General features: G+C 37.0%; 1 long non-coding RNA gene across 2 annotated transcripts; it reads right to left on the bottom strand.

Annotated features, from left to right (window-relative positions):
- Positions 1 to 299: 299 nt before the first annotated feature.
- LOC124902649 (uncharacterized) lies at positions 300 to 26776 on the bottom strand. 2 transcript variants are annotated; one of them, XR_007062629.1, is made up of 3 exons: positions 26509 to 26776; positions 8396 to 8713; positions 300 to 1518 (listed from the first exon to the last, which is right to left on the bottom strand). It is a non-coding gene; the product is annotated as an uncharacterized LOC124902649 (long non-coding RNA). The 2 variants fall into 2 exon arrangements; XR_007062628.1 differs by having other exon boundaries at positions 8396 to 8490.

The following is a 26776-nucleotide window of genomic DNA, read 5'->3' as shown; positions in this document are numbered from 1 at the left end:
AAAGTATTACCTGGGCATGCTGGAATAAAAAAACTCACTAAGCTTTTAGAAATTAATTCTCTCCACTCATGCTTTCATTTTCTATGGATAATCTATCTCTAATTTTAAGTTCAACTGAAAACCAAACGGCAAAGTCAACTGAAAACTGGAATTTCCATTCACTAGGAAAGGTTGCACAAGAAAATATGAATTGCCTTTCATTTTCCCAGCACTATTAACATTTATTGGGAGAGATAAAATGCTAATAAAGTGAAATTCTATCACCCACCAGCTATTCTGTCTAAATAGAGGCATAGAGGTTAAATTTTGTCAAGTAAACTTTATTGGCTTTCCTCATAGTTGATTCAAATAATTCAGCAAGACTTGTGAAGTTTATAAATTTTAACAGGTAGTTGTATTATCTTCTAAGTTTTCATCTTCATATACAACAGCTCAAATAATAATTTACACAGAAGAAAATAAATAGTAATAGACTGTAACAGTTAAGAATTGCATCCAGGTGTTTGAAGGATTACATTTTATAGAAAGCTATTTGTATCAAGTTTATAAAAGGCAAGTTTCAAAACTGTATAATGCAATAATTTCATATTTTTAAATATATATGCACACCAAATATGCATAAATATATAAAATAAAACTACCAGTAATTTCATCTGATATATATGCACAAAATATCCATTCTAAAATTTTGTATTCTAAAATTTCTGTATTAAAAATGTATCAGTGTTATAATAAAAATGAACAGTAAAAATTATATTCTTAAAACTAAAATCATTACAATGGTTGTGAATTTTTACAGGTATTTTATATTTCGATATATATAGTATAATCTTGAATAAATTAATCGAACACATTTAAAAAGAAAAAAATTTTCACTCACAAATCAAAATGGTGTTTATTACTCCTGTAACTTTCTAACATGCACTATTGCATGTACTTCTTTTTAAATAAATTTTGCATTTAAATTCTAATAAAAATTATTCCTTTTTTTAAAAAGGTATTTTAGTTGGAAATAATTTCAAACTTGTAGAAACATTGCAAGAATAAGAATAGTATATTGAATACTCAAATACCCTTTACCCAGATTTACCTGTTGATAACATATAGCCCTATTTGCTTTAAAATTTTCTCTCTATCCTCCTCTCCTTTCCCCCTGAACTACATGAAACTAGGCTGCATACACTATGTCCCTTTACTTCTAAATATTTCAGTGTATATTTCATCAGGATAAAAATATTCTCTTACGTAACCACAGAATAGCTATTAACTTTAGTTAGTTTAACTTTGATCCAGTACTTTTCATCTACAGCCTGAATTCAAATTTTGTTGATTGGCTCAACGATGATCTTTATACACACTGAACTGTGGTATCTCAGTGAAACAATCAGATGAAACGTTCTGTGGTATCTACAATGAAGTTGTTGAAGATGGTGCCCGCCGTATTCCAGGGTGTTGCCTTTATGAGGATCCACAGTAGAAATATCCGTGCACACTGAGAAGCTTTGATGTTTATTTTGGCTACCAAGGAATTAAAGCCAGAATTAGATGACAAGTCTGACAGGGATGCGTGGTTTGTTTTTCTCTGTGCTATCACCATAACTTGTTTTCTTTCTTTTTGTTACAGTTTTCCTATCTAATTACTTTACCCTTTAATACCGGTTTTACAGTTGCTTCAAAACCGGAATAAAATTGGATGTAAGTAAACAAATAAATAAACCAAATACATACATATATACATACACATGTACCTAACTGGATGAAGGAAATGCCACACATGTAATTCTAGACCTAAGACGAATACGTCTCCATGTCCTAACCACGTTTGTGGGGGTAGCATCTTGTCACATACTGCTTTCCCCATCAGCTGCTCACATTTCCAGCAGAGAATCAAGCATCATAATCACATTTTCTCTGAAGGCTGTCTCTCTGACTCTCTTAGCAACTTCAAGATTCCCAGGATCCCAATTAAGTATCTCATTTCAGCAGACTGTTGCCAACTCTAAGAAGGCACACACAGGTGACACTTAGATGTGTGGGCATAGCAAATCCTCTCCACAGTTTGAGAGTAAAGAAGGTTTTATGGCATTGGTTTTGCTAAATATAATTCCCTTTCATGTCTCAGGCCCCTTCTAAGCTATTCCATGAAGACTAAAGTACTCATATGTAAGCCAATTGCAGGAAGTGGAGACATTTCAGGCTTTCATAACAATGGCTTTTGTTTTCCATTTGGAAATCTTTTGGTCAAAATCCTAAATGGAGCTGATTCAATCCAGAACACTCTGGCAATGAAAAATCACAGACTGCTAGATCAGGTAAAGAAAAATGATATTTGGGCTGGGCATGGTGGCTCACGCCTGTAATCCCAGCACTTTGGAAGGCCAAAGCAGGCGGATCACGAGGTCAGGAGATCGAGACCATCCTGGCTAACACCATGAAACCTCATCTCTACTAAAAATACAAAAAATTAGCTGGGTGTGGTGGTAGGCACCTGTAGTCCCAGCTACTTGGGAGGCTGAGGCAGGAGAATGGTGTGAACCCGGGAGGCGGAGCTTGCAGTGAGCCGAGATAGCGCCACTGCACTCCAGCCTGGGCGACAGAGCGAGACTCCATCTCAAAAAAAAAAAAAAAAATTTAGAAAAGATTTCCTTTCTAAACAACCAATCTCCTTACAGGTGAGGGATTGTTCTATGTGTGGGAAGTTCCATGCTGTCCTACATAGTGTTGTCTCTATGGAAAAAGTAAGAGATTTGAATGGTTTCATTGATTTTTTACTTGTGACTGAATTTGATGGCTTAGAAAATATAGCCACACTCATGACCTTCCCCCATTTTCACAGCAACCCTGTGAGTAAACTACAACATGAATTATGATTCCTACTTTGTAGACGAGAAAATTGTGACCCAGTGAGTTTAAAGCTGTCCAAGATTAGGAAAGGTCTGCCTGCACTTAATTTCTTCTATTGCGAGCCCCAAACCAATCACATAACTTACTTATTTTGCTGACGACATTATTACATTTTTGGTCTTCCAGGAAAAAAACCAAAAAACAAAAAACAAAACTTTAGATTAACCTTCCTTTTTCTTCTTCGGCACTCTCTACACTTCGCGAAGAAGCCAAGCACTGTTGTCTCTGCCTCCCAAATGTCCCTCCATCTGTTCCTGCCTTCTGTTACTTCATTACCCTCTGACTACTATTGCCTTGTTACAGTGGCCCTAAATTATAGTAACCATTTTCTATCTAGTCATCCTGCTACCAGCTTTTCTGATTCCAATGCAAATCTGCTGTCAGAGTGGTCTTTTTAACACAACAAATAATCATGACCTTTCCTGCTTTAGAATTCCTAATAGATTTTTACTGCAAGTAAAAAGCAGATTTCTTAAGCTGCCAAGCAGAGCCATCAACTAATTTTATTGATTTATAATTTTATTTTTCACGATGCATATATTCTCAACCTGTAACTTTTATTACAAAAAACATATTCAACTTACTATTCCAAAATCATTATGCATTCTTTAGCTGTTGGATCTTTACTCAAGTTATTCATGCCATTCCCAAACCCCATCCTTAAGGATTTAGCCCAAACATGCCTCCCGCATAGTAGCTCCTATATTTCTCCAGCTGGAATTCATCTCCTTCTTTCATATACTCCCATGACTCTTAGTTCAACTCCTATTTTAACATTCTCTGGAATCCAAACTTTTAATAATTATTTCTATATGTCTGTCTTTCATACCAGACTACAAATTCTGTAAGGACCCGAGACCTGAGTCTATTTTTCATCTTTCCCTACATCCACTTCAGTGCTTTGCATTAATTAGTGTTCAATAAATATTTGCCAAGGTAATTTACTTCAGGATGTTAGGATTTGGATTAAGCCATTGCCTCCATTTATATTAAAGTGAGGATGTCACCTGAAAGAAGCAATATATTCACCAAGTGCATCCAATTTTCTCTAACTAAGGTTAGGCTGTCAGAACAACAAAAGGCAGAACAATGTTCTGAGAGACTGGAAGAGGAAACAGGCAAATTAGAGATGGGAAGGTTTCGTGTCAGCGGCATTTTTGGATGGCTCAGGATGAGAAAAGAGGGCCTAAAAAGAGATACAGAAGCCCACAGGGGAAGTACTATGTAAAGAAGTGCGGGAGGGAAGGACAGAAGGAAGCTAGCATTTTTTTTGTAAGTGTCAATCTTTTATCAGACACTTTAGCATAGGTTTGTATTCGACCCTCACATTGCCATGAAGAAAAGGTATTCTTATGCCAACTACAGATTTATGTATTAATAGAGAGACTGAAACTCAAAGAGGTTTAGTGAATATGAACCCAAGTACATTTGCTCCTACAGCCTTTGTTCTCTGCCATGTTGACTTGGATAAAACAGATGCTTGGCAGAGGAAGAGCAGAGGTGCTCAAAAGGCACAAACAGAGGATGGTGGAAAGGACTACCAGGTGTCAGTGGGAAATTCTTTTTCATTTATGACTCTACCTTTGATTTTTTTTTTTTGGAAGAATAAAAGAAAGTGTATTCTGACAAAAAGAAATAAACCTTAAATCAGATTTCAAACACGCAGCTCATTAAGGCTCTGCCCTTTTCCCCAAACAAAGCTTTTGCATTTCCACTTATACATTCTACAGCTTGTCCTGGATATGGGGAGCATGGGGTGGAGAGGAGGTGGACATGGTGAGAGAGGAGGGATTTTTTTTTTTATGCAACCACATTCTTTTATGGAATGAACTATGATGTGAAAATTAGTCTTGCATCTTTTAGATCATAAATCTGAGTGGGGCATGTTGTCTTGGCAAAAACCAGTAGCAACGTGCTAAGTGTTTATTGCCAAAAGCAATAGCATCATGACAGCAGATAATTATGAACAGTGCTGGTGAGCAGGGCTGGGAGGAGATGGCTTTGAGAGAGTGAGAGTAGGGGCTCTGGCTGAAACCAATCCAGACTCTCAAATCCTTCCCACTGATCTGCCTTGAAGCTCAATCCGCTTTCTTCTTTATAAAGAGCAAGGATTTGGGCCGAGCGCGGTGGCTCACGCCTGTAATCCCAGCACTTTGGCAGGCCGAGGCGGGCGGATCACGAGGTCAGGAGATCGAGACCATCCTGGCTAACACGGTGAAACCCCATCTCTACTAAAAATGCAAAAAACAAAACAAAACAAAACAAAAACAGCCGGGCGTGGTGCCGGGTGCCTGTAGTCCCAGCTACTCAGGAGGCTGAGGCAGGAAAATGGCGTAAACCCAGGAGGCGGAGCTTGCAGTGAGCGGAGATCGTGCCACTGCAACTCCAGCCTGGGCCACAGAGCGAGACTCCGTAAAAAAAAAAAAAAAAAAAAGAGAGAGAGAGAAAAAAATGATTTCTTCTCTGGAGAGAAGAAATCTCTTGAGAATCATCAGAAACCAGAGATGAACTGGTGATCAAGGGTGAGGGGGTATTTTATTTTTAATGCTTAGCTCAAAGCATCTTTATACTCCCAAACCTGTAAAACGTGTTGGCATTCCAGTGCAGGTTCCTGAGGACCCTTATTATTTAGAATCGTTCATCCAATTTTCTCTCATGATTTCCAGTGGACACATTTTATTAGGTGCAATAGCTGGATCCTGCTGTCTCTTTCTTTTGGTCTGGAGTCAGCTTATGAATGAGGGCAATTCAACCTCCACAGCATAGTTGGGAGAAAAAAAATCTAATAAATTCAGGCTGTGAGGGAAAATTCTGCTCTGGGTCTCCCTTTCATGGGGAAGAGAGAAGAAAAGAGGCAGTCAGCCTGCTACCTGGCAGTCGTCTGGAAGCAGGGTGTCGTCTGGACGTAGCGTTTCCTGCTGGAGTTAAACAGGCCCTCTGTTACATAAGACCCTGCTGGCATTGCTCTCAGGCCACACCCCAGCCCTGCTCTCAGGAGCTCTTGCCTTGATGCTTCAATGCTTACTTCATTTCAACAAACCCAAGACTGCTTTTTATCTGAACCTATGCCTTTCCTGGAGCATATTCCTTTAAGAGTAAATGAGGCATAGCCACCACCAGAACATTCGTTGATGTAGCCTCATCAGGGATTTCAACGTTCTAGCAAGTGAATTGCCCACATAAATCATGATTAACTATTTGATCTGTAGGGGAAAATATTCATTCAGAGAAGACCAACATCTTCCTTTAAAGGCATTACCTACTTTCTTCTTAGAACATTTGGAATGTAATTCATTGCTCTCCTTCATGACCTGAGGTCATAGTTAAAAGGTATTGATTTATTGCCCTGTGTGATATAATGATTTCCTAAGGCAGAAATGAGAGGCAAAATATTTAGTAATGGCGAGTAATAGAACTAACCAGTCAAATTGGATGATGGCCATGAACAACCCATTTGGTCTAATTAGTGAGCCCTTGGAGATGATCAGCTCTGTCCTTGGGGCTTAGTGGCCTCAAACTTAATGTTCCCTTCTCACTAACATTTATCAAATATCTACTTGTCTTAGCTAATTTAATCCTCAAATGACATTATGATACAGGTGAAAATGTTTACATTTTATAGAAGAAAAAAAGGCTTAGAAAGACCAAGCATCTTGCCTAATGTCATACCACAGCTAAGGTGCAAGACCAATATTTGGACATTCCTTACTTGCTTGAATCAATGTCACCTACAATACACTGCCTCATTCATTCCTCTTGCTCCTAGTTTGCTGTAGAGAAACTGCCTGTCAAGCATATTAAATAGGTAGTCTCCTTTGCATACCACACAGTTCTGTTTCCTATATTGTTTCAATAAATAAGCATTCATTGAATGCCTACAATGTGCTAGGCACAGAAAAATCAAATGGCCCATACAGTGAATAAACCCTGACCTCTGGCTTAATTAGCACCATATTTAACGTCCAACCTAGTCATATAATCTTTAACACTGTTGCCAAATATGAATGGTGCAATCTCTTCTACAAGGCAAAATTGTTAACTTTTGGCCTAACAAAGATCTTTCAACTTTCATTTTTAATTTCATGTTTGGTGGATGAGACATTTGGAAGTCTAATCTTAGGGTAACAGATTATTGGTAAATGTTCTCCTTTGCTTCTGCCCACCTGCCTGATACCTCTCCCCAACCTATAACACATGGTTAAGGAGAACCTGCGGAGCAATTTATAGCCACTGGTACCAGTACAGGGATGAGGAAAGAGTCTCTTTTCATCTTCATTCATTCCAAGTATATTAATTGAATGCCTACTACATGTCAGAAACTCTTCTGGGAACTTATCTTAATGCTTGTTTCAAGTCTTTCTGTGCTACCCAATCACAGATCTGAAGCAGCCTTCGTGCTTTTGTACTTCATATGCCTGGCTCAAGCCTTTCCCCAGCGATAGCCAAGAGCAACATGAAGTCTTTGAAACAGGGTTTACAGCCTTGTTTTTCTGTTACTAATATAGCATGCTGTTCTCATCATCGGTCTGATTTGGCTACTGACATGGTGACATGCTGGAATGTTTCCTCAGAGATCCAGCAGTAAAAAGGAAGCAACAACAACAAAAAAGCACAAAGAGTTCAGAACAAGTAGGTGCCTTCCAGTAAAGTCTTCATGAAAGAATTGACTTCCTTGAGTTCCTTAAAAAAAACAAGTGTTTGCACTATAGGACAGGTAAGGATATTTTCTCAAAAATATCAGGAAAGAATCCTGGAAAGAACATGAAGCTGACTCTGTTACTCCTTCCCTTAGCACTTCGAGGATTCCTCACCATTTTGGGGGGTAGATACAAATGCCTGAGTATGACATGTGAGGCCTTTATAATTCCATAATTGTTTATCCTTTCATAATCAGCTCAAGAATTACCTTTTCCAAGCAAGTTTTCTGGATAACCCTGCTCCAGTAAAACTAGCCAGCCTTTATTTGTGATCTTACTCTTCCATACAATAACATTATTCATAGTGAAATTCAATATTGATTCAGCATGGTCAGATTGCCTAGGATTGAAACCTGACTTCTATACTTCATTTTCTGACTTTCAGCAAATTTTTTAACATCTTTGTGTCTCAGTTTATCAGTAGAATGGGAATAATCATCATCATCACATCTTTCTAAAGGCATTTTTAAAATGAGAATCAAATGAAATAATATGGTAAAGTGACTATCACAGTATGTGAAACACAGCCCTCAAAAATGTAATTCCTTATTATAATTGCGTGTCTACTACTCAGTGAGTTCTTCCAATGCAAAATCCATGGCACTTAAACTTGTATTTAATGCCTAATGATATTCTTATTTATTTAATGTACAAAAGCTTCACAGAGTAAGAAACAATTAATTATGGCCTATATTAGTTAGGCTAACACTAAACAATAACAAAACTAGAAAAAAATACGTGTTAATTTCTTGGCTCTGTAACATTCTTAACAAGTGTTTCTGATCCTCATGTACCTCTCCTCAAAAGTGTGATACAGAAACGCAGAATCCTTTCATCCTGTCGGTTCCCCATCTTCAACATAGTTTCCAAGATCATCATGCTTGTCTGTCTGTAGATAATAAAAGAGGACAAAAAGTGGAGAAGGCATACTTATTCTTGACCACCCTGGCCCAGAAAGAAAATACCTCACTTCTGTTGTCATTCCACTGTAAAAACCATGATCTTTGCCACACAACTCTATGACATGCGATAGGTAAGCAAGCATCCATTTCTAATAGCCCTTGAAGAATGTTAGGAATTTGATGGAAAGAAGATGACAGGGAAGGATACTCCTGGGAAAAGAAAAGAAAGTGAATAATGGGCAAAGGGAAGTTTAGGATTATAGAATCAACACATTTCACATTTCAACGGAAATGCAGGGTACATGATAGGGAAGATAAGAGATAAGAGTGGGAGGTTGAACTCAGTCTGCACACCTTATTATGATTGTTCACTTCACATCATACACAGCCTAGGGCTCTATACTTCCTGAGCTTGACATTACATACTGCCTCACACTTAAGTGTAAAATTAGCAAATGGGAAAATACCTGAGCTCATTAGATAATGACTAATCATGATCATTTTAAGCACAGTTGTCAGATTTGACAAATAAAAACATAGGACATTAGTTAAATTTGTATTTAGGACAAAAATATTTTCATAGTAGGAATAAGCCCCATGAGATATTTGGGACATATGTATATTAAATAAGTATGTATTGTTTATCTAAAATTAAAATTCAACTGGGCTCCCTGTATGTTATTGGGGCAACACTATTTTTTTAAGGGCAAGAAACGTATCTAAATAATTTCTCTCCTAGTAATAACTGTAATTCTCTGTACTTTAGGTAAAATTATAGAAATTTTCCCTTTCCTTGTCACATTTTTTTCTTTCAAGTTCTGCACCAAAAAATTATTCTCTGGCAATAATCGTTCTTTCAAGTTGCTTCAAATGGTAAAAAATAGAAATTCATTATGCAGAATCACAGTTGGTTCTGTGATGGGACCATCATATGATGGGACTGCAAGCAGAGACTACACATTTATCGACAGTTATTTCCTATGGTATCTACCCTTTTAACAGTTAATACTGATGACTAGTTATAGAGGTTCTTCAACCATGTAGCCCATCAACTAGATAAACTTGTTATTGATTCCAAACCATTTTTTTAAGGAAGGTTCTGTTTTGCTTTTAGACCAGACTGTACCTCTAATACTAGCCAGTTGTCTTGTAAATATATAGTGATAATAAAGCAATGTTAGTGTAGTAATAGCACCTTTATTGATCACTTCCTTTAGGGTAGCCATTTTTACAATTGTTTCATATGAATTATTTAATCTTAATAAACTTTGCTACACAGAGGTTAACTAACTTGCTCAAGTCTGAACAGCTAGTAAATGGTGATGCCAGAACCACTGGATTGAGGATTGGTGTTAACCATCATAGTAGTTGGCTGCATTAGTGAAAACCATCTTCCCATTGGGACAATGACTCAAAGCATTAACACCTCCATACTGAAGCACCATCCTGGAATGAGTCAAGTGGCACGGGCTCAAAATAATGCCTTTGCCATTTCTTAGCTGGTACTTTGGGTAGCCTGTTTAACTTCTCTGTACTTTAGTTTCCTTATCTGTGAAAGGAAATGATAACGTCTACTTTATAGGGTTATAGTATAAAATTAAGTGCATCTTATGCAATGAATAAATAAATAGTAATTGATATTGTTATTATGAATATTCATTCCATTCAAACTGGTTTACACAGAATTCTCTTGTCCTTATAGAAATGAGGTCCCAGTGTTCACATGTAGATAAGAAAACACAACAAACCTCTACTATTTCTCTACCTCCTGTTCATCCTATTGGTGTAATTAATATCTTAAATGTGTGCTTTGAACAAGTGATAGATGAAGAGCAACAGCCATCACTGAGAAATATAAAAATATAGAAAATTAAAAGCTAAGTACTTGTCAATGGTTTGTTAGTCCCCAACCATCATGATTTTTTTAAATTTTATTTTCTAATGGAAGGGTTATATCTGTCTTTTCTCATAATGACTTAGGTACTTGCTCCTACCAAACAAGCTAAAAAAAGAATGCCATTGAAAATAAAATACTGAAATGTTGACATCACACTCAAAATATTACTTAGCTTCTATTCTTTGCTCTTGGAACAAAGGCTGTATACACACTGGTCTTTTCACTTTTAGTTATGCTATTCTCCTTGTGTCTCCTCTTTCTACTTATCCACCCTTTAGCCTAGTTCCTGCTTCAAGTTTCACTCCATAGACCTAAGGATAAAGATGAAGACCATCTCTGAATGCCCAGTCTTTTCTGACCAATCCCTTTTCCATACTCAGGTAGACTTAGAGTCCATCCAATAATTTGAAAGTTGGCATCCTATTATTGTGTAAAATCCATAAAAATAAAGCTTATCAGAAGAAATAACATAAAATTGAGAATCTGAGTTTCTGTTGTTCCACTTCCTGAGAATTGAATGAGGTCTATCGTATTGATCTTCCTCACAACTAGTATTGATAGATTGGAGACATTTCATAAATGTTTGTTTGACTAATGATTATAATTTAGGTAACTAATGTATGACAGTGGCTGACACATAGTAGATGCCCAAAGATCTTAATTTATTTCCCATTTTTATTATAACCATATTATAACCATGCTTCTTACATGCCACACAAGTTCATGGATTCCTAATTAATTGTTGAGAGCTTGCCTCTGTATAGGCTTCCAATTAGAGTAGCTCTGCAATAAAAAAACTGAATATCTAAAATTCTACTTTTAACTGATTTAACAAGTTGTAGTCAGACAACTAGGTCTGTTAGATATTAAAAATCTGACATAATGAGTAGCATGTTGTTTTTTTTCAGGGATATTGTTTCTTAAGGGATGTGGCATACTGTGGCATTTTTTCAAAGATAACCATCTCAAACATTCTTCTTACAATATAATATCGATAGACCTCCATCATGAGGCAGGATTTTTACCCTCTCTCTCCACGCCTCCCCTCAAGCCTGGATGGACCTTCATAACTGTCTCAACTAATAGTGGATGCCAGAAGTGACACTATGTCTTCCTAGCCTGGCTGTGACCTTTCTGGGACATTTATCTTCAGAACTTTAAGTCAACATGTAAAAATTCAGCTACCCTGAAGCCCCCATACGGGGGAGAACATGTGAAGACACCCCATAGCGTTACAGATGCCCAAGGAGTCCCAGATAAGTCAGCCTACAGTCCTCTCAGATCAGACATCAGAACATGTGAGGGAGGAAGTCTTCAGTATGATCCTGGCCCTCGCCATTGTCTGACTGCAACCTCATCAGAGACCCCAAGTCAGAAGGCCCATATTGGCTTCTCTTAGATTCCTGACCCATAAAATTGTGAGAGATAGAAAACGATTATTATTGTTTCAAGCCACCAAGTTTTAGAATGATTGTTGCACTGCCATGGAAACAAGCAGGGCAATTGGGGGGAAAAAAGTTAGTCTAATTAGGTTTAAATTGCAAGACAGATGAGCCATGTGTTAGAACATTCCATCCTTGAATCTCAGTGATCACTGTGAGGGTAAGGCAGAGACTCTGCCCAGTCTGTGAGGTTTCCATTGATTCCTGGGGTTGTGGTAACTGAAGTGGTCTAAGACAACTTTGCTCTGAAAAACTCATGGCTCTGGAAGAATAAAATATACTTCTTCTTAATAGTTTTTCCAGTAATTAAAGTTTTATTTCCACATCCGTTTTAGTAAGTGTAAAAATACATTTCAAGTCACTCTTTCCTTCAAAGTGGGAAAAGAAGGTGGGGGTTGGGGGGAAGCAGAGCCCACATGTCTCCAAATAAAAGCAATTACAAGCCCTGCCTTCACCGAGGTCATACACCTATATTGTGGAAGGCATAGGATGGTGGAGGGAGATTTTCACATCTGGATTTCATCAACTCATATTGGTTATAACTTGCAGACTGCAATTTCTTTGCCAATTTTTTTGTCATTAATCCCTTGGTAGCATAAAAAGAAAAAAAAAAGGTTCTAGACTCTCCATAAACTGCAATTGGGCAATAGCTGTTGTGCACAATAGGCAGCCCAGACTTGCTAAATGTGAACAAAACTCCCCCCTCACTGCCACTAAGGTGAAACAAAATGTGAGGTCTACATAAGTGGAAAGAGGTAAATAGCATATTTTTACTTCTGTCCATGAGTGATGGGCATGAAAACAAAATGTGCAAATCCTACAGGGGCTGAGAGCAAGAAACCCATACAGTCCATCAGTGTAAAAGGTATTGAGTGCTCACTGAGCCCTTCTGGAATTGCTCCAGAGGAAATGGTTTCCTGAGGCCTTGTTCTGGCAGGGTAGAAACAGCATTGCTGATAGATGATTGTTAGGTTTATAAACAAGAGAAAGTATTTAAGAAGGCAAATGGAGGAACACTTTTTTTCTACATATTTTACCCTGCCAGTAAGTAGAATCAGAAAAAGAGAAATTATAATTCCCAAACGTAACTTGGGCTTTTCCATCAGGAGGTGGCATGGGCTCTTTTGAGTCCAAGGGCAGAGTGAAATGATGAATAAATGAAAACTGGAACTTACTTTCTGCCTCTTGGCTCCAGTGAATAAAGATCTTTGGTGTATGACTGATGCTTAAAAGCCTTTTAAGCACCCTAAACTATTTTCGGATTAGATGACCAAGTACTTTAGAATGTGTTAGTGCCTGATGCTACCAATTAGGTAATACAATATTTTCCTTTATCCTTACTTAATTTAGAGTCATGTTTAAGAGGATGGGTCCCAGGCTTATACTCAGATTCCCTACCCCCTGACTGCTTGAGCAGGGGTCTCCATTTCTCTGTGCCTCAATTTCCCCATATTTAAAACATAAGTAATATTTTGTGAGGATTAAGAGTGTTTTGTGAGGAACAAGTATAATCAAATATCTAAGTGCCTGGGACTTAGTTAGAGCTCGATAACTTTTAGTTGTTATCCGCATCTTCAACTATACCTGCCTGACTTATTATGAACCTACACACAATTTTCTATGTTGGTTTTAGTCTCTTTTTAAAATTTTTCTCCCTATTGAGTAGTGAGTTGACTATTACCCCTTGCAGTATATAATCCCACAAGTTGTAGGTAACAATTAACCCTCTCCTTTTCTCCTCCTAAGTCTTAGATGATTTGTCTGGAGTTTAAACAGATCTTTCACATTTGATCTTACTAACAGCATTTAAAAACTGGTTCTTTTAGCTATTTTGAAATAGACAATACACTGCTGTAATTAATTATAGTCACTGCTGTGCAGTAGAACACCAGAACTTATTCCTCCTATCTAACTGAAACTTTGTGCCTGTTGACCAATATCTCTCCTTCCTTGTTCACCCCAGCCTCAAAGCCTCTGGCATACCCTCTGCTTCTGTGAGTTTGATTTTTTTTTTTATTCCACATGTAAGTCAGATCATATGGTGTTTGTCCCCTTGAGCCTGGAAGTTTAAATGTTCTCCCCACAAATGGTACATATTTGAGGTGATGAATATGCTAATTAGCCTGATTTGCTCATTTCATAATGTCACATATATCAAAACATCACATTGTACCCCATAAATATATACAATGACTAGTTGTCGGTTAAAAATACAATTAAAACCCCGAATCTGAAAAAAAAAAAACAAATACAAACCTCTGGATATGATTGAAGAGATGACTATTAGACCACAAGCTCTGTGAGGCCAGGGACAATTTTTATTTTGTTTACTACTTTGAAATACATAGAATGCAGCAACATCAGTTTTTCTCTCCATTATTTTTGCTATTATTATTCCAGAATAGGCTGGCTCTCTATAGGAACTCTCAGTCAGGGTTCAGTCAGGAAACAGGTGGCTCTACTCAAAGTGGACACTTTGAGTAGAAATGAATAAAAGCACTATTTTGAAAGATGTGGGCGAGGTTTAGGGAGCATAGCAAAGTCTAGTGTCTTCCCTAAGGGCCAGTGACAGTGGGGGTGCTGGGACTGCCACTGAGCTAAAGAGACCAGGGCAGAGTAGAGTTACCAGGAGCCAGAAAGAGGGAAGCTGTACGGAGGAAGAGGCCTGAAGCGAGCTGTGTGGAAAACTGGCAGGTAACCATCCAGCGAAATGAATACCTTGCTACACTATGTTCCTGCCTCTGGTTTCTGGCTGGTGTCCCCCATTGGCAGAGTATAACTAGAAGCCAGAGGGCTAGGGAGCCTATGCTATAGTTGCTTGGGTTTAGGCTCCTAGAGCACAGAAGAGGGAGGAAGAAATGTGGAGCCTGGACCTGGAGAGCAAATGAAAGACTTCTAGCACAGGATTGAATATTCAGCCACTTCTATGCTGTGCTCTTTCATATTCTCTAGCCCTAATATTTCCCACTTAACCTTTAGATACTCAGTATTCTCACTCAGTCTGTCCTCCAAGGACTACCCAGTGATCTGGAATTTACAGCTTCATTAATTCAGTAAATACTCATGGAGCAAGAGCAAGCCAAGTGAGTGGTGGTGCTTGCCCTCATAACCTCTCACATACTTGGGGGAGAGACAGGCATGTCAACAAATTATGATCCACTGTAATAGGTACCAGGATAGAATTGGCACTAAGCACTGTAGGAAACAGAACTAATGACTTACTTTTCTCTTATGGTGAGAAGCATGGGAGGTCAAGACAGTTTTACAGATGAGGTAACAGTTAAAGTGAATCTTGAACAAGAAGGAAGTTCCATGGTTATTCCTCTCAGGGACTTTATTTTAAACTTATTTCTAACTATTTTCTTAAAAGTTCTCTCCCCTTTTGTACTAGTTTCTCAGTTGGTTTCAATGATCCTCATCTCCTGGTATTCATGCCCTTCGGTAACCCTCCCTAAGTGTAGGATGAACCTAGTGACTTGCTTCTAAGAAAGAGAATACTGTAAAAGTTATGGGATTTACATTCTGAGATTAAATGACTGGCTTCTGCCTTGCTCTTGTCTGTTTATTCTCTCCTCTCCCTCAGTTTCTCTGAGAGAAGCTAGCTACCATGTTGTAAGTAACTTGTCTCAACTCATTCCTGCTGCTATAACAAAATACCTTAGACTGAGTAATTTAAAAGTAATAGAAATTTATTTCTCACAGTTCTGGCCAGGTGCGCACCATCATGCTGGCTAATTTTTTTTTTCACCATGTTGCCCAGGCTGGTTTTGAACTCCTGTGCTCAAGTGATCCAGCTGTCTTGGCCTCCCAAAGTGAGGGGATTACAGGTGTGAATCACTGTGCCCAGCCTCTTTTATCTTTTGGGTTATATTTGTGCTTCCATTTAAAATACACTGTTGAATTATTAGCTATTTCTCCTTTTCATTGTTTTAGTGGTTACTAGAGGGTTTACAATGTACATCTTTAATTTACCAGTCTAATTTCAAATAATATGCCACTTCTCATATGGTGCAATTATTTTGCAGTAGAATAATTCCAATTCCTTTCTCACATCCTTTGTGTCATACATTGTACTATATATATATGCTATAATACATTATTACTATTTTGCTTTAGGCATTCAAATACAGTTTCAATTCTGAAACATACAGAGAATGTCTTTGATATCATATTTACCTTTATTTTTGCCGTTTCAGGCACATTTTATTCCTTTGTATAGATATACATTTCTGTCTTGTATCGTAATTCTTCTGACTAAAGAACTTTCTATAACATGTCTTGAAGCACAAGACTCCTGGCAATAAATCCTCTCATCTTTGGTATGTCTGAAAAATTACTTATTTTGCCTTATTTTTGAAGGATAGTTTTGCTGAATATTATATTTGGAGTTTTTAAGCTTCTTGTAGTTTAAATGTTACTTTATTGTCTTGTAGTTTGCATATGCTCGAGATGTCCTTTGTAAATCATATCTTTGTTGTTCTATATGTGCTGCATTTCTTTTCTGACTGCCTTCAAATTTTTTCTTTGTCTTTAGTTTTCAGTTGTTAAATTATGATGTATTTACGTGTGTGTGTATGTGTGCGTGTGTGTCTGTGTTATTTATTGTGTAAATAGATTTAAGCTTCTTGGATATATGGTTTGATGTCATTCATTATTTCTGAAAAATTCTCAGCCATTATCACAAAATATCTATTTGTCCAGTTTTCTCTTTTGTCTCTTTCTGGCACACCAATTACACTTACCTTAGAATATTAACATTAAGTGCTCTGGGTTTTGTTGTTGTTGTTGTTGTTGTTTGAATTCACTCTTTTTCCCAATGTTTTGGCTTGGACAATTTCTATTTATTCATTTTTACTCAAAATCAGTCCTTTCAGGTCCATCTGAGTTGTTGAGTATATCAATAGTTTATTCCTTTTTATGGCTAAATATTGACCCAGTTAGAGTTTAGTGATTTTTTTTCCCTTAGCTATCTTAAGTCTACTGATGAGCTCTATAAAGAATTTCTTCATCTATGATATAATGTCTTTTATTTCAACTTTTCCATTTGACTTTTCTTAAGTTTCATTCCCTCAACTAAAATTCCCCATCTGTTCATTCATGTTGTTAAGGTTTTCCACTAGATTCTTTAACATGTTAATCATAGCTACATTAAAGTTCTCATCTGATAGTGTCAATATCTCTGAGTCTGGATTCATTAATTTTTGTCTTTCAAAATTTTTTTGTGTATTTCAAAATTTTTTACTGAATTGTGGACCTCATGATAGAGACAGAGAGAATATTTTTACTGGGAAATGGCTACACTTCTACTTTTGGGCCAATAATATGATGGTTCAGTCATTCTAGAGAGGAGTTGATTTAGGTTTGGGTTTTATTATTGCTAAAGTTAACTTCTTGCACTACACACTTCACATTTCTCTGCCAAAAGGCTGACTTTGTGATTAGGGTAAACCTGTGAGTGTACCTCTTGTCCTCAATTATAAACAATTATATACCTCTTGTCCTCAATTATAAACAATTATTATCTGAGCATGATCAGAAATTATTTTGTTGAATTTCAGGTATAACCTAGGGTTATTGTATTCAAAATGTGGTCCTATAGGATGACTACACATCCCATTTTGCCTAGAACCATTCCAGGTTTAGCTAAAAACTCCATATCCTAGGAAAAACCCTCATAGTTCCCAGGCAAACTGGGTAGGTTGGCCACCCCATGACAAGAGACTAGCGTCATTGATATTATCTGGGAGACTGTTATCACATTGGTGCAAAAAGTAATTGTGCCATTAATGGCAAAACCAATTACTTTTTGCACCAACCTAAAAGTAATAAAGAATCTTGGCTCTACTTCAAACCTACTGAAGCAGAAACTGTATTTTAATAAGATGCACAGGTGATTCATAGGCACATGAAAGTTTGAGAGGAATTGCTATGGAAATAGGAGTCGAGAATCTACATACCTGAAATTTAGATTCCCAAGACATTTTGGATTTTGTTCTTAAATGTTTCTATTTTCCACTCTCTTTGCTCTACTACCAGTGTTACTCAACTTATGGGAAAATCTTCATTTGTCTCCCACCAGGACTTAGTTTATTATAATTATCCTGTGGAAGCACAATGTCAATTGCCCTCTAATGAGTATCAGCTGTTTTAGTTCCATTACTCTGTGTGTGTGTGTGTGTGTGTGTGTGTGTGTGTGTGTTCATGTACTTTCTAATTAAGTTCACTTTTTGAAGAAAAATTTTTAATTCAGATACACTCAGGTCTCTGGAGAGTGATTATGAGACTCGCTAAAATGCACAATAAGCAACTCACTATATTAAAAAATAGCTAATGAATAAAACTTTAGTAATTTTCTTCTATATTCTGATAATTTGGGGTTTGAAAACTATATCAATGAACTTCTCTGGAAAAATGGATGAAATTTTTCTCATCCATGTCTGGCTTCTTTGGGGATAGAAATGCCTTTAATTTCATTTTTGTGCAAATGATTATCTGATAATTTTATTTAAACAGTCATAAAACCAGTAGTCAAAGTTATAAAGTAGATCTTTTATATATAATGAAAGACCTTTGTAGATCCTCTGAGCTCTATATGTAATCTAACCATAAGGATTTCTTTCTTTCCCTTTTGGAAGGCAACTTCCATTCTATAGAGTAGTATAAAATGTAACTTTTATGTTTTGGTTGTGTCTTTTCTAAAACACATTTCTTTAGCATTGTAGGTTTTCACACTCTGCTTTCAAGCCCATGGAATACTCTCTTGAACCTCCAATGTTTAAGTTGGCATAAAAATCCTAGAAAAATTCCAGCAAGGCTCCCCATGGCCACCACCATCCAGAAACAAAGCCCAGATTCACTACTGGCCCATAATCTGAAGCCTTGACTGCTAACTGGAATGGCAGGGTTGACTTCAGATCAGGAATGAATGTATGGCTTTGTGGAGTAATTAGGTTTTCCTGGCCTTTGCTTCATGGCATATGTATTCCAGTTTAACTAAAGTATTAAACAACATAACTTCATCAGACAAAACACCCAAATTTACCTCCAAGGAAAATGATATTGTTAATAATACAAGATTTAAATTAAGACTCTGCTTTTTCTCCACCATTGAGAGTTGAAAGACTTAGGAAACAATCACAGGGATTCTATGAGCTTCAGTGTCCCTATCCATAAAATGAGTAATAATAGGCAATATCTTGCAGTGTTATTGTGAGAATTCATTGAATAAGTAATCAAAAACAGAATTCAATGCCTCAGCATGTTAGTTTCCCACTCTGAAGTGTCACCATGGTAGGTCTCCATGGTATTTGTAAAATGATACTGTTTGCTGTCCTGAAAATACAAATTTAAAAACGCTATAATTCTGTACGTATGGCTAGGCATATGTATTCAAATATGTTCATGTGTTTTCCACAACTATAATTTATTTGCATAATCTTTTCCTAGTCTACTGCCCAAAATTTTAAGTGTCTTTTGGGGAAAGGACATAAAACAGCACATGCTCTGACTTGTCGCAGGCCAATTCCTTATTTTTTAGATGGACAATATCAAAATAACATTGTTTTCATGGACTATATATGCATCCACATGAAAGCTTAAACCAGAGCCTTGCTAGTCTTGAGTACTGGCCTACATTCTTTTTATTTATAGCATATGGTGAGTTTCTCCTTGACACCATTTAAGATAGTACAAGTGTTCCAATTTTTACAAAGGTTTAAATATCTATTCTACCCTCTTGACATAAGAAACCATATGATGAAGGGATTTGGAGCCAGAATACCTGCCCTTTATTAATCCTAGGCAAGTCATTGAATCTTCCTCAGCTTTAGTTTTCACATATTTGAAGTAACAATAGTGATAAATTATTATTACAATAATAAATATATCAATGATTAAAATTGCCATGAACATTTATTGAGTGCTTACTATGCTTTAACCCTCTTATATTTGTAATCCATCATAATATGCAGCATGATGAAGTAAGTACTTGCATTCACTCCACTTCATAGATGATAAAACTGAGGCTCAGAGAGGATAAGTGGTGTGGCCATGATTAGCCAAATCATAGGCCCCAGAACTGGGGTTCATAGTTTATGCTTCTATGTACTGCTCTCTACTACCCTCCACAAAGTGAGCACAATAGCTTATATTTGCTTCTCAGGGATGTTTTTGGAGGTAATTTGTTCATGCAGAAAGATAGTGGTTTCTAAACTATAAACTTATATAAATGTTGGTTATTATTAGTATTTTCACAGGACTCTGGCCTTTGAAGTCAAAATAAAATCTACTCTAGTATCAGGGAAATTTTAAGGAGGAAAAAGTTTTGCAAATCTACAATTTCAGGATCTTAAACCATTGAATATTTCAGACATGTTAGTTTCCTTGCCACAGGCCATTTCCAAAGCTATTTTTCATTATAGACTGAGCTCATTTCCTCTAGTAGGATCAAATTGCTAGGTACATATTTCTATCTTGCTTTCATTTTACATAGGGATGATTATATTAGTTTCCTAGGGCTGCTGCAACAAATTAGAGTAAACTTGTTGGCTTAAAATAACAGAATTCTTTCTTATAAAACTAAACATACTCTTAACATATGATCTAGTATTTGCACTCCTTGGTGTTTACTCAAATGAATTTAACACATTTGTCCACACAAAAACCTTTACATAGATGTTTGTAGCAGCTTTATTCATGATTACTAAAACTTGGAAGCAACCATGATGTCCTTTTGTAAGTTAATGGGTAAATAAATTGTTGCATATCCAGACCACGGAATATTATTCGATGAACAAAATGAGCTTTCAAGCCATGATAAAACATGGAGGAAACTCAAATGCGTATTACCAGGTGAAAGAAGCCAATCTAGAAAGGCTGTATATTTGTGATATTTGTGATGGTTAACTTTGTGTTAACTTGACTAGGCCATGAGGAGCCCAGATATTTGGTCGTACACTATTCTGAGTATTTCTGTAAATGTGTTTCTGGATATGATTAACATTTAAATTGATAGACTGAGTAAAGCAGATTGCCCTCCATTAAAGTGGATGGAATGGGACTAATTTAATCAGTTGAAGTTCTGAATAGAAAACAAAGGCTGACCCTCTGCAAAATAGAATAGAATCTTCCTGCCTGACAGCCTTCAAACTGAAACGCAATAATTTTCCTGTCTTTGGACTAAAAACAGAAACATTGTTTATTGTTTTCTCCTGGGTCTCCAGCTTGCCAATTTACCCTGCAGATCTTGGGACTTGCCAGCCTTCATAATTGCATAAGCCAATTCCTTATAATAAACTTCTCTCTCTCTCTCTCTCTCTTTCCCTCCCTCTCTCTCTGTGTGTACACACACACACACACACACACACACACACACACACACACACAATTGATTCTATTTCCCTGGAGAACCCTCCCTAATAAAAACGTGTGTGATTTTAACCTTATGATATTCTGGCAAAGGCAAAATTGAGACGGTAAAATGATCAGTGATTGCCAGGGCTTAGTGGGATAGAGGGTTAAATAAGCAGATCACAGATAATTTTTAAGGCAGTGAAACAATTCTGTCCAATATTCTAATAGTGGATGCATGTTATCATGCATTTGTCAAGACCAGTAGAATGTACACCACTAAGAATGAACCCTAAGGCAAAGCGTGGACTTTGAGTGATGTATCAATGTAGGTTCATCCATTGTAACAAATAAGGCACCACTATGGTGTGGGATGTTGATAGTGGGGAAGGTTGTTATTTGGGAATGATGGGTATAGGGGAATTCTCTGTACTTTCCATTCAATTTTGCTATGAACCTGAAATTGCTCTAAAAAATAAAGTCTATTAAAAACAAACAAGACAAAGTCTATTAAAAACAAAAACATTAAAAACAAACAAACAAAAACATAAATTTATTCTCCCACAGTTCTGGAGGCCAGAAGTCTGAAATCCAGTTTGTCAGCAGGGCTGCATTTCACCTGGTGTCTCTAGGGAATAATTCTTTGCATCTTCTAGCCTCTGTAGCTGTGGGCTGTGGGCATTCCTTGAAGTGTGGCTGCATCACTCCAATCTCAATCACTCCTATGATCATATTGTCCTCTCTCTTTTCCTCTCTTTGCTTCTTTGTTTTTTTTTTTTTTTGTTTTTTTTTTGAGACGGAGTCTCGCACTGTCACTGGGGCTGGAGTGCAGTGATGCAATCTTGGCTCACTGCAACATCCACCTCCCAGGTTCATGCGATTCTCCTGCCTCAACCTCCCAAGTAGCTGGGATTATAGGCACCCACCACCAAGTCCGGCTAGTGTTTTTTATTTTTAGTAGAGACAGGGTTTCACTATGTTGGCGAGGCTGGTCTCAAACTCCTGACCTCAAGTGATCTGCCTGCCTCAGCCTCCCAAAGTGCTCTTTGTTTCTTATAAAGATACTTGTTATTGGATTTAGGGCTCATCTGGGCAAACTGGGATGCTATCTTCATCTGAAGTTGCTTAAGATACTTTTTCTGCATAAGGTAAGATTCACAAGTTTCAGAGCTGAGGGCATGGACATATATTTTTGAAGGTTATCATTCTGACAACTACAATGGTCAGTTACCCAACCCTGGTCAAAAGACCTAAGAGAAAGTCTACTCAATGACGTGTAGAAAAGACTTTCTCCTTTATTTCTCCTCTATTTATGTGTGTTTTCTCTATGCATAAGAAGAAACTAACTTTTCTTTCTAACTTTCTACACAGTTTAAGAGGACAAGAGGGCTGGAATAGCAGCAACCATCTTGGGTCCAAGTGGTGAAAAGCCTAAAGACTTGGTTGAGCTACTGAAACAAACCTGAATTTTATTCCATCTGAGGTTATGAATGTTCTGATAGTTTAAATTGTTGATCATTATGATTATTTTTGTTACTTGTAGTTCAAAGTATACTAACTACCAAAATGGGAAAATATAACTATCACATAAGGAAAAGGAGACCTTATGTAACTTATGTGGTAATTAAAATATAACAGATTTAGAATTCGGGAAAATAAACAACCTTCTTAATGCTCAAGTAGGCTGAAGAGAGGGTAGCTCGGCGGTTATTCCAAGAACACAGACAGAAAGAGCCTTATTTATCCTTAGGAATAGGAGTCAAGAGAAACAGCCTAGCTTGAGGGTAAGAAAAGGTGGAACCAACTGCTAGACTGTCAATTCTGTGAAGTCAATCAGAACTATATAAAGCTTTACATAACACATACGTGGAGGGTGACACCTAGAGTGGGCATCAAAGCTTCAAGGTCAAAGTCTCAGGAAAAGCTTTGGGCATCATCTGTGGTGAAAGTTAGAAAGCATCCTGGTGAGTGAAAACTTGACGGTCTATCACAGCTTAGCTCTTGAACAGAAGTTCAAATTCTAGGTACTTCAGGAGACAAAACAATGAATTAAATGTTATAACTATCTTACGCTCAAGACAGTTACCATTTCTTGAAGAGAAAATACATATATACAAATGGTAATAAAGTAGGAAAGTTCCTAAGAGCTGTGGATGTAAGAATTTAGGTCTGGGTAAGAGAAGGAAGTGAGAATTCTGATATGGAAGGAGAAAACTGTGCGAAGACCTAAAAGCAATTTGGGTTATCATCAATTTGTCTAGTTAGAGGCTCTACTCTGAGTTATTACTCTGGTACCCTAGCCACTAAAATCACAAACTCCTTGAACTTTTTCTAGATTCAAAGTCTGGGCTTCTGTGTTACTGAATTATGCTACATCCTACATCCTTAAAATGGACACAGCAGATATAGCTGCACTTGATATAACTTTTCATATTTGTTTCACAAAATATAAGCTAGTATTGAATGTAACTAGCCCATAACAACAAGCAACAACAATAATTCTTCATAAGACAACTTACTCCTTCATCAATCACTAACATTCACAAAGGTTTTCTAATGTATTGTCTTTTTGTATCCTTTCAGAAATCCAGGGAGTAGAATACTTCAATTTTAAAATTAAAAAAGAAAGCATATAACATGGCCAGATTATAAATATACACATGAATTATATCAAGCCTAAAGTATCTACTTGTCTTGCTTCTAAACCTCACAGATCTCATGGGTAAACTTTGAGAACATACTGGTTTTGTAGTAAAGACATGTAATCATCAAAGGAAAAGCTCAGATTTTTATATGTGGCCACATGTGAAAACTATTGTAAAGTGGACAGATCCTGAAATAGTATTGAGTAACTGGAGCTGGATTTGACACAAATCTTATGTAATAAAATGCCAGTCTACTTCTGCTCATACTCCAACCACCACTGGCTCCCTTGGCAGTAATCAAAGCAATAATGACCCAGACAAGTCCTTTTATGCACAGCTTGACAGGCAGCCAGGGGGAGTTTCTGAAAATTATGAAATATAACCCTCCATTATGAAGATCATGGAGTCATCCCCTCAATGTGGCTAAGTAGCTTTAATTTTGATTGCTGTCAGATTTTACAGCTCTCAACACTTGCAGCTCCTTGGCTGACTTAAGATAGGTGTCTTGCAAAATTCTTTTTTATTTTCCACATCTATTGAACAGAACTTCATTTCACTGGAGCCATGAAATATCTTCCATTCTGCAACCAGTGGGTCTTTGACTTAAGCAGATGAGTTAGTTCACTGATCTGACAGCCAGGTTGTCTTTTTTTTTTCTGCCCCACTGTTAAATCTCTGTCTCCCAAAGGTATCTGTCTATCTTTACTACTACACACATCTCAAATATTTTTTCTGCCCTATTTCAGAATCCTGACACATTCTCAGAGTCTCAGTCTTAGTGTCATGAAAACCATGCCATTTAAAGGAAGTCCCCATGCCATATCTAACAACCCTTATCACTACCCGTCCAATCACCAAAAATATATCCTTGTAGTTTTCTTTGTACCTGAAGAACAGTCCCTGACCAGTTTCAACTTTCAAGTTTCAGGCAGCCTCTATTTTAGAAAGATATTATAATACTTAACCAAGTCTATTGCCTTTCCTTAATAATTGCTGGCATCTACTAAGAATTTACCATGTGGTATCCACATCTCCTTTAATCTTCACAATTACCTTATGCAGCAAGGACCTCAATTATCCATTTTTTCCAGCTGAAAAAGTCCTGCTTAAAGGACAGATCACTTAAACAGCATTACATAGCGTGTAAGTGATGGAGATGGGGTCAAATTCAAACTTGCCTGTGCTCTTAACTTCTGTGTCTCCTTACACTATTGAGGTATTTACTAGAGCTACATTTAAACCATAACTCTGCCAACCTGTGCTCTAACAGCGATTACTCCGGAAAAGTTCCTACCTAGCCCACCTTTATAAGAAGTAGAGAACATTTTCTGATAGGGACTGTTGAGCTACAAATCTGTAAAGTCGAGTTGGGAAAGGTAACCAGCTACAGTTAAGCAGTTTAACTTTAGACTCTGTCAATGTCATAATTTTACATGTTTCCAAAAGAATACGACCAGAAGTACAACATGTAGGCAGTTTGGGTTAGGTTGAAGACAGTCCCTTTAGTCTGCAAGACTCTGCATAACTGCAGAGGAAAATGTGAGTTTGAAGTTCTGGATGTGAGGCCAAAATTAGAGAGATAAAGCAAAGATAAAGTCCATGAAAAGAGGCAACATGTGGATAATAAAAGTGGACTCTGCAGAGGACACAGACTTCTGTGTCCCCATATGCAAGCAATATGAGGATCTAAGATGATCCTTGGGCCTCAACAGGACAGCTGAGTAATATAATCAAGATGGGGAGACCCTACACAGCTATCTTCATGACAGTAAAACATAGTCCAGCCCTTTTGTTCTAATAAAATGGCTGCATCTTTCGGGTGCACTGATATGTTATGTTCTATGCTAAGCAAATTACATGTCATCTTATTTCATTCTCATAAAATAAAATTATATATTTTATTTTTCAAGAAGTTGAAGCTTAAAGAAATTAAGTTCCTTGACCCTCTATAATGCTCACATTTGGATTTTTATTCTGATTTAAAAGATGAGAGAAAATTTTACTCTTAAATGATATATGGTCTATCTTAATTCATGTTTACTAATCATGTACAACACTCACAAAGAAATGAAGAGTTGAGCTCTAACACATATTCCAGAATGTTGGTCCACGAATGTTGATAATTTAAGTGTATTAAGTTTGCCTGGTTAGCTTTTTTTTTTTTTCAATAGCTTAAAAAAAAAAAAATCCTGCCCTCCCAGGATATTGGAGAATGTGACCTACTATGCATTATCTAAACATAGCTTGGAATGGGCAAAGATAGCTTGAGAGTAACCCATGTAAAAAAAAAAAATCTTAACTTAAGAAATCACCAATTGAGTCTATGTTATAAATAAGCTTGCAAAATGAACTAATTAAATGTAGGCTTCCTAAATAAATGGAACATTATTTTTTAAAAATTCTCCCCAAAATACGCTTTAAAAAAAATCCCTAAAAGGCATTTTTGTTCCTTGTAACTTCTCAAAGCCTAGACTTAGTCCAAAATTAAAACTTTAGTAAAAACATTTTTTTTTTCTTTGAGTCCTAAACATTGAACTGCACCACAATGTTTGGTCCAAATATCACAGAATGACCCTATATGACCCTTATGATTTCCGTGATGCTCTATTCACTAAACAATCAGAGAATATTCCCTGGAGTTCTCTGGTGCCTCAGGAACAGATTCTATCTTACCTCAAGTTCAAAGGTCAATGTCCTTTGTTGAGACTTTCCTATAACATCAGCCATGCCCTCTGTCCAGTCATGAATATTCATTCCTCCAAGGTCTGGAGTGCTCTGGTACTTCTCAGGATGTCAGAAGAACCTAGTTGAATGAAGTTTTTTGAGAAGGGCTGTAATTTCCCCATCTTCACTGCTTTTGTATGAATCTTAGCATCTGGGAACTACTCACTGTTTAATTATATTAAACTGTGTGTGTCAGATTTGGATAAAGACGTTGTTT

Source organism: Homo sapiens, chromosome 11, assembly GCF_000001405.40.
Source record: "Homo sapiens chromosome 11, GRCh38.p14 Primary Assembly".
NCBI lineage: Eukaryota > Metazoa > Chordata > Mammalia > Primates > Hominidae > Homo > Homo sapiens.
The sequence above is the reverse complement of the archived record's forward strand: the minus strand, read 5'-3'. Positions and strand labels throughout refer to the sequence as shown.